Here is an 8990-nt window from a genome sequence, read left to right as displayed (position 1 = left end):
TTTAACACTGGAGCCACTTATTCTCATAACTCCTATTAATGTCTCAGGATTCATTTGGGGAAACACTGTTGCAGGCTGAAGCTTCTTTAAGAGGAAGGAGAAGGTCTTGTGCATTTTTGTTGTTTCCACGCTGCCTTACAACTGGGTTTTAAAGAAATTATGAAAAATGGGATTGGATTGATGAATTCACTTCTAACCAACAGCCACACACGTGTAACTTGGGGGCCAAGGTTAGAGGCTGGGGCTGCACTCCGGAGTGCCTCTCAGTGTAAAGCTAATTGGCCCCTTTGGGGGATGAACCTCTGAACTTGGCCTCGTTAGTGCCGGCACAGAACAGCTGAGTTGGTTTATCTGGTGCCATAAAATTGTTCTCTCACCCAGATTCTCATGCTGTCCTCCAGGTGGCAATGCTGGTTTGTCAACCTTCTGAGATAGCGCCTGATACTTGGGCCGAGCAAAGATGGAAATGGAAGGGAAGCAGATGCGGATGAGGAATGGAGTTGGGAGTGGAGTGATTATTGAAAATTAGAAGACACCCTGTCAGGTTTGCAGCTGACATGAAGCTGAAGCGCAGCCTCATACATTGGGTGTCCAGATTCAGATTTTAAGGAATCTTGAGGAACCAGTAAGCCACAAGTAAATATTACTAGCATTTATTGAGCACCAACTATGGGGCTTACAACGTGCCAGATCATTTCATTCATTGTTTCTTTTAATGCCCTCAACAGACCTATGAGGTAGGTCTTGGAGGTTGAAATAATGGAGCTGGAAATTGGACCTTGATTCCTAAGGCCTGGTATTGTATATGAGAGCTTTGCTAGACTGAAATAAGAGGATATTTACCAGGGATGAAACATGCAAAATGTTTATCCATCTATCTATCTATCTCTCTATCTATCTATCTATCTATCTATCTATCTATCTATCTGCCTATCTCTCATCTATCTCTCATTTCATTAGTGTAGGATGGGCCTGATAACATTTCATGAAATTAATACTAGGGTTTTTTTTTTTAAGTTAGCCACCTGCTAAATAAATCAGTTACAGTTCTGGACTGCATCCTTTAAATGACAACACTCAGATCAGGACAGTGGAGATATTTATTTCCTAGCTCTTCTTTTCATTCTCGTGGTCACTATGCAAGATAAACATGGCCACACTGAATGATCCCAGAGTGGCCGGCTTAAAGTCTAGTTGTAGCACTGAGTGGTTCTACTCAGTATAACTGTATCTCTATTATACTTGTCACCTAGGAAATGTTGAAATTATTTCCCTAAATGCCTCATTCTCCCAGTGGACCATGCGTTTCTTGAGGGAAGAAACCATGCCCTTCATTTCTGTATTCATAGGGCCTAGCAAAGTACCTGGTACATATTAATAGTAAGTCATTAGTAAAGCTTTTTTTGAGATAGGGTCTGGCTCTGTGGTCCAGGCTGGAGTGCAGTGGCACGATCTTGGCTCACTGCAACCTCTGTCTGCCAGGCTTAAGAGATCCTCCTGCCTCAGCCTCCTGAGTAGCTGGTACTACAGGCACACACCACCACACCTGGCTAATTTTTTTATTTTTAGTAGAGACAGGGTTTTGCCATGTCGCCCAGGTTGGTCTCAAACTGCTGAGCTCAAGCGATCTGCCTGCCTTGGCCTCCCAAAGTGCTGGGACTACAGACTGAGCCACCACACCCAGCAAGCAAAGTTTAAATGAATGGATGAGTAAGTAAATGAAAGCTGTCTCCTGCAGAAATGTAATCAGAGCATGAACTGATGAAGGAACTGAGGAAGCTTAGTCTAGCCTAGAATAAAGAAGACCTGAAGGAGCTAGAACTATCTTGCAAGATGTAAAAGGCTGTTATAGGCATGAGGTTGTAGTGCAAGTTTGTGCTTCTTCAAGTGGAAGGCCAAGGAAGGCCAGTCTCTTAAACAAACAAGAATCTAACAGCAATCGCCTTTCCATCTCCTGAACCAGAGGTGGGATGGCCATCAGGTGGGAATGTGGGAGAAGGAGTTTCTGCATCGTGTGTCAGGCTGAACAAGAGGCCACTCAGGCTTGCAGCGGTCTTGTCACCACTTTGTGCCAGTGCCCAGAATAGTGCTGGCCACATAGAAGGCACTTGATAAATATTTACTGAAGAAATGAATAAACAGTCTTCTACTAATTGAAGATTCATTCAACTAACATTTATTAAATTTTTCTGTGTGTTAGGTCTGTGCTTGGCTGCAGAGGCTGTTTCAGGTAAAAGGACTCAGTCCCATCCTAAGGGGGAGTGTATCATTCTGGTTGGAGCACCAGGTAGAGCTAGACTGTCTGGGTTTGAAATCCAGCCCTGCCAATTACTTTACTTTGTTATGCCTCAGTTTCCTCAACTATAAAACGGGAGTGAAAATAGCATTCACCCGAAGGAATTATTTTGATAACTAAGTGAATTAACACTTGGCATTAACCACTCAAATGTTAATGATTATCATGGTACAGACTTTCCAGCAGGGCCACAGGTAAGTTACTATTATGTGATGGATGCTTTGATGGGTGCATCCAGACTGAAATATGTGAGCACCTGGACAGGTTAATAAATAGAAATTTTATCGAATCAATGTGCTGTAAATCTTTATTCAGTTTTGGGTTTTTTTGTAACAGAGTCTCGCTCTGTCATCTAGGCTGGAGTGCAGTGGTGCCATCATGGCTTACGGCAGACTCAACCTCCTAGACTCAAGCGATCCTCCCACTTCAGCCTCCCAAGTAACTGGGACCACAGGCATGCGCCACCACACCTGGCTAGTTTTTACAATTTTTGTAGAGATGGGGTCTCGCTATGTTGCCCAGGCTGATCTTGAACTCCTGGGCTCAAGCAGTCCTTCCACCTTGGCCTTCCAAAGTGTTGAGATTACAGGCATGAGCCACCACACTTGGCCATTTATTCAGTTTTTAAAACGGAAGAGGCTGAGCACTTGCGGAGGCAGGACTGCTGCTCACCCACCAGAGTTTTTTGGTGGTACTTTCCCTTCCTCTAGAGCTTTCTAGCATATACACTAGACATATATATTATATGTTGGGACCCTGTCAGGAGGGAAGGGCGAAGAAAGGAGGCCTGACACCCAAAGTTCTGAGCAATTCCACTCTGGCCCCAAATTCGCATTCCCCACTGGACCAAACAACCACTCCACAGTAAAACAGAGGTGACACCCTTGGAAGGCATGCCCCTTGGGGCACATTACCCCCAACCCTGAGGGACTTATCAGCATATTATTTCTAACCACATAGTGTACTATCCTGACAGGATTCTAGGAGATAAAATTTTTCTAATCTTATTACATCTCCTGTGATTTTTATTCCCCCTTGTAGATTTCTGCCCCAGGTGGTTGATCAGCTGGTCACCCCTTAACCCCTCTCTGCTCATGGGGGCTGTACAGAGTGCCCTGAGGTTGGTACCTGGTCCTGAATTGGAGGGTCAGGGAAGGGTACCTGGTCCTGAATTGGAGGGTCAGGGAAGACTAAAGGATATGTAGGAGTTAGCTATGCAAGCAGTTGGCAGGAATGGAACAGCATGTGCAAAGACCTGAGGTCGGTGGAGCATGGCACATTCAGGGGAATGGAAGTAGTTTAGTGTGGCTGGCACATAGGGCATAGGGTGTGTGCATGGAGAGGGAGAATGAAGAAAATGCTGGAGAGGTGTGCAGGCTCAAGCTCGTGAGTGGCCGTGGAGGTTGTGTTAAGGACTTTAAGCTTGATCCTGAGCCACAGTAGGTATCTCTGAAGGGTTTTAAGGAAGGTGGTGAATGGAACAGGTTTGCATTTTAGAAAGAGCACCCCATCTGGAGAAGGGATCAAGAAGGATGGGTGTGTGTATGTGTGTGTGGGTGCGTGTGCATGCGCGTGTGTGCACACTCCACCGCAAATGTGCTGGGGAAGGGATGGTGTGGTAGGTAGGGCTGGATGCAGGGAGAAGAGTTAGGAGGGTGTTGCAATACCTCCTGCAAGAGATGAGGGGACACTGAAATAAGAAAGCCACAGCATCGTGAATGGAGAGAGTTGTAAACACATTTGGGAAGAATTAACAACCTCTGGCTATTGGCTGGAAGCTGAGGATAATATTTTGGGAGTTCTCTGGCTCTTAACGACAGTATGTGCAAGATACTAGGCCAAAACCAAAGGGACAAAAATGTTACATGTGAATGCCTGACCCCCCCTTCTTGACTAGAAGTATTGTACCTACAATTTCTTTCTCTCTTCCTCCTTTTTTTTTTTCTCTTTAAAATGTCTCCTTATATAGTATACAGTAAAGAGCTTGGGTATGAGTTAGGCTGTCATTAACCACAGCAGTAAGGTTTATTATGGTGTGTATTTTCACTTATTTGAACCACATTTATTCAATTGTAAATAGGGAAGCTGGGTGTGGTTGTGTGCACCTGTAGTCCTAGCTAATCGAGAGGCTGAGGTGGGAGAATTGCTTGAGCCCAGAAGTTAAAGGCCGTAGTGCTCTATATTTGTGCCTATGAGTAGTCATTGTACTCCAGCCTGGACAACATAGCGAGACTCCATTTCTAAAAAAATAAAATTAAAAAACTTATCAAGTTGTACACTTTATTTTTTTATTTGAATTGTACACCTTAAATATGTGCAGTTATTGCATGTCAATTACATCTCAATAAAACTGTTTTATTGATTGATTGATTGATTGATTGATTGATTGAGATGGAGTCTCTGTTACCCAGGATGGAATGCAGTGGCCGATCTTGGCTCACTGAAACCTCTGCCTCCTGGGTTCAATTCATTCTCCTACCCCAGCCTCCCAAGTTGCTGGGATTGCAGGTGCCCGCCACCATGCCCGGGTAATTTTTGTATTTTTAGTAGCAATGGGGAGACGGGGATTTGCCATGTTGGACAGGCTGGTCTCAAACTCCTGACCTCAGGTGATCCACCCGCCTTGACTTCCTGAAGTGCTGGGATCACAGGCATGAGCCACCGTGCCTGGCCTCAATAAAGCTGTTTTAGAAAATTATAAATGGGGATAGTCATACCTACCTCATAGCATTAGGATTATGATTCAGTGTGGGTTTTTCCATTTGGACCCAGACCTGAATTTCTTGCTGATGGAGGATGGGACACTGCACCACCCTGCACCCATGTACCCAAGCTGAAACCCCATGATTCCCCCTTCCTTTACCGCTACCCCCACGTGAATCACTGTCACTTGTTGCTTTGATGGCTGCAGTAGCTTCTTTTTTTTTTTACATTTAATTATTTATCTTTTTTATTTTTTAAATTTTCCACCCCAGAAAATCCTTAATGCACCAGCTTCTTCTGTGCCACTCTGCTTCCACTTTCCTCCTTCTATGAGCCTTTTTCCCTTTCCTCCATAGGGCAGTAAGGTGATCTATTTTGTTGTTTCAGTTCATTGTTTTTGTTTGTTTGTTGTTTGTTTGCTTTTTTTTTGAGATGGAATTTTACTCATCGCTCAGGCTGGAGTGCAATGGCACGATCTTGGCTCACTGCAACCTCTGCCTCCCAGGTTCAGGCAATTCTCTTGCCTCAGCCTCCAGAGTAGCTGGGATTACAGGCATGCACCACCACGCCTGAATAATTTTGTATTTTTAGTAAGACAGGGTTTTACCATGTTGGCCAAGCTGGTCTCGAACCCCTGACCTCAGGTGATCCACCTGTCTTGGCCTCCAAAGTGCTGGAATTATAGATGTGAGCCATCGCGCCCTGCCTGGTTGGTTGTTTTTTGTAACAACTTTATTGAGATATAATTCACATACTATAAAATGCACCCATTTAAAGCATTCTTGAGTATATTCACAGAGTTGTGCAACCATTACTGCTAATTTTTATAACATTTTAATCGCCCCAAAAAGGAACCCCATACTCATTAGTAGTCACTCCTTATTCCTCCTTCTCCCCAGAAGGAGAGCAACAGCTAATCTATTTTCTCTTAGTTCTGGCAACAACTAATCTATTTTCTTTCTCTATGGATTTGCCTATTCTGGATATTTCATGTAAATGCAATCATACAAAACTGGCTTCTTTCAATTAGCATAATATTTTTAAGGTTCATCTATGTTGTAGCATGTATCAGGATTCTATTCATTTTCACAGCCAAATGATATTACATTGCATGCATGTAATGCATTTTGTTTATCATTTATCAGCTGATGGATCTTTGAGTTTTTTCTGCTTTTTGGCTCTTATGAATGATGCTGCTATGAACATTTGTATACAATATTTTATATGGACTTAGGTTTTCAGTTGTTTCAGGTGCATACTTAGAAGTGGAATTGCTGGATCATGTAATAACTCCATGTTTAACATTTTTTATGGGCTGTCAAATTGTTCTCTAAAGTGGCTGCATCATTTTACAACCTGCCAGCAACCCACCAATTTCTCCACATCCTTGCCAACACTTGTCATCCTAGTGGATATGAAGGGGTATCATTGTGGTTTTGATTTGCATTTCTTTAATGATTAGTGATGTTGAGCATCTTTTCATGTGCTTATTGGTCATTTTTATATTTTCTTCGGAGAAATGTCTCTTCATGTCCTTTGCCCATTTAAAAAGTTGGGTTGCCTTTTTATTATTGAGTGTAGGAGTTCTTCATATATTCTGGATACAAGTCCCTTATCAGACATATGATTTGCAAATATTATCTCCCATTCTTATGGGTTTTTACTTTCTTTGTAGTGTGCTCTGAAGCACAAACATTTTTAATTTTTTGAGAACTCCAATATATCTTTTTCTTCTTTTGTTGCCTGTGCTTTGGTGTTGTATCTAAGAAACCATCACCTGAACCAACGCCACAAAGATTTATTTCTACGTTTTCTTCTAAATATTTTATAGTTTTAGGCCTATTTATTTGTTTACTTGGTTATTGCCCCTTCCACTCACTTAAGCCCCATGAGGACCAGGCCATGTCTATCTTATTGACCTTAATCTGTAACACCTACTATAGTGTCTGGCACATAATAGGTGCTCCGTAAATATTTTTTTAAAGAGCGTCGTAAATGTTTCTTCTGTTCCCAGCATCCTTTCCACTTTTTGCCGATTCTGTTACCCCCATTTGACATCACCTTTTGCCTGGATTTTCTTCCATTTCTGTTTTTCATAAAATGTGAAACCATGGAGTAGAACATCCATTTTTGCTCTTTTTGGTTTTCTTTTCTTTCCTCTTCTTATTGCTTTTAGCATGTAAAAATCGGTGTCAGGATTCAGTTCTCCAGCCCATAACAATTTTATTTTTCTTTTCTGAAACCTTTGCAATGGCAGCTCAACATAGTGTTCTCTTGGTCTTGTGTTTTCATATGAGTAAGACTTTTCTCGTCAATGAAGATGTAGGCTCTCTGAGAACAGAAGTTGTCTTCTAACCCAGAGAGTGGTTGTTTGAGTTCTGGACAAGTAAATGTCAATAAACACTAGGGGGTTGATCAGCAGCCCTTTTAAAAACCCAATAAGACTCAGGTGTGCTATGCTTAAAATGTCATAAATTCTGAATCAATGGATTCTGAAATTGTTAGAACCCTACAGCATACAAAATTTAATTAACCAAGCACTTTTTGTGAGGAAATTTTATTAGAAGTAATCACATAATACTACTGGCCATTATCACGTAATATTATTGGCCATTACTTTCAATGGCAAAAACTGCAATTACTTTTGCACCGACCTAAGAATACTATGTATTCTCAAAAATCCTGCAGAATAATTTCCTCTGGGTGCCTCTGTTTAAACAGAGAAACAGGGCCCTTTGTTTGGTGTAATATCTCTGCACACATTTCTGCCTCATATCAATTCAGCAGGATTATAATCATAAAAAAGAAAAACCCCTTCATCTTAATGTTAAACTGTACTCCCCCTGCTGATAGAAATTCTTTTGATGAAGACCACAGCCAGAAACATGGCTAAAGACCATTTTACCTGAAAGCCCCTCATTCTGGATTAAATTTTTTTTTTTTAGTTTGCCATCTTGTTTAGCATTTATAGATATCCCAATACCTGAGAAGTAACCTCAAAAGATGATTGAAACTTTTGATCCAAGAAATAACTCACACATTTGTTTTGCTTTGCTCTAATCTTCAGAGCTGTGCATCATGCTGACAAGTCCTCGATTTTTAAAAAACACATTTTCCTTTGGGCTTTCCCCCGCTTTCATTGTGGTAATATTTTCTCCTATCTTCCATCTGCTAAAAAAGTAGGTGTAACAGTCTAATCAGCTTTTACCAACTTTTCTGCAAGAACAAGGCAGAAAATATGAAGATATAAATCAAAAATTGTTATTATTGTTTATGTAGTGGTGATATATAGTTCCACTGGGCTTCGTGTTTTACATGGCCACTTTGAAAACACAGAACGCTGCTCAGGCACCAGCGATTTGTTTCTGAGCCCTGTGCTTGGATGTTTCTAATAAATATTATTCTGTCTCTGATTTTATGATATCAACAAGATACCAAAGCAATAAAATATTTTCAGACTCCTCATATTAAGTCTATGTTGTCAAACAAAGATAATGACCCTGAACTTCAAGAATGGTAGGTAGACAAAACATTAGGCATAAAATAGCTAAATTTTTGTAAATCATAATAATTATGATGATAGTTTTATGCCATGGGACAATGTCAGGAAGGATGTATATAAACATATTAAGCCATGTTATTTCTTAATAGAGAAATTGTAGGTGATTTTAATTTTCTTTTTCTTTTTTTGCTTATCTGTATTAATTTTTCTTCATGAGTGAATATTACTTTTGAATTTAAGAAGATCGTTTTCTTTTTTTTTTTTTTTCAGACAGGGTCTCACTTTGGTCCACTAGGCTGGAGTGCAGTGATGTGATCACAGGTTATTGCAGCCTCAACCTCCTGAGCTCAGGTAATCCTCCCACCTCAGCCCCCTAAGTAGCTGGGACTACAGGCATGTGCCACCACTCCTGGCTAATTTTTTCGTATTTTTGGTAGAAACCAGGTTTCATAATGTGGACCAGGCTGGTCCTGAACTCTTGGGCTCAAG

General features: G+C 41.2%; 2 annotated features.

The window, feature by feature from the left end:
* Positions 257–551: a silencer, noted in NCBI's record as "tiled region #9356; K562 Repressive DNase unmatched - State 8:EnhW". NCBI's record gives its function as "represses a minimal TATA promoter and a strong SV40 promoter by Sharpr-MPRA in K562 cells {active_cell/tissue: K562}" and the evidence as "EXISTENCE:reporter gene assay evidence [ECO:0000049][PMID:27701403]".
* Positions 1697–1991: a silencer, noted in NCBI's record as "tiled region #12713; HepG2 Repressive non-DNase unmatched - State 21:Repr". NCBI's record gives its function as "represses a minimal TATA promoter and a strong SV40 promoter by Sharpr-MPRA in HepG2 cells {active_cell/tissue: HepG2}" and the evidence as "EXISTENCE:reporter gene assay evidence [ECO:0000049][PMID:27701403]".

The sequence above is a fragment of the Homo sapiens genome, chromosome 11, assembly GCF_000001405.40.
Source record: "Homo sapiens chromosome 11, GRCh38.p14 Primary Assembly".
In the NCBI taxonomy this organism is placed as follows: Eukaryota; Metazoa; Chordata; class Mammalia; order Primates; family Hominidae; genus Homo; species Homo sapiens.
This window is presented reverse-complemented; position numbering and strand designations above follow the sequence as displayed.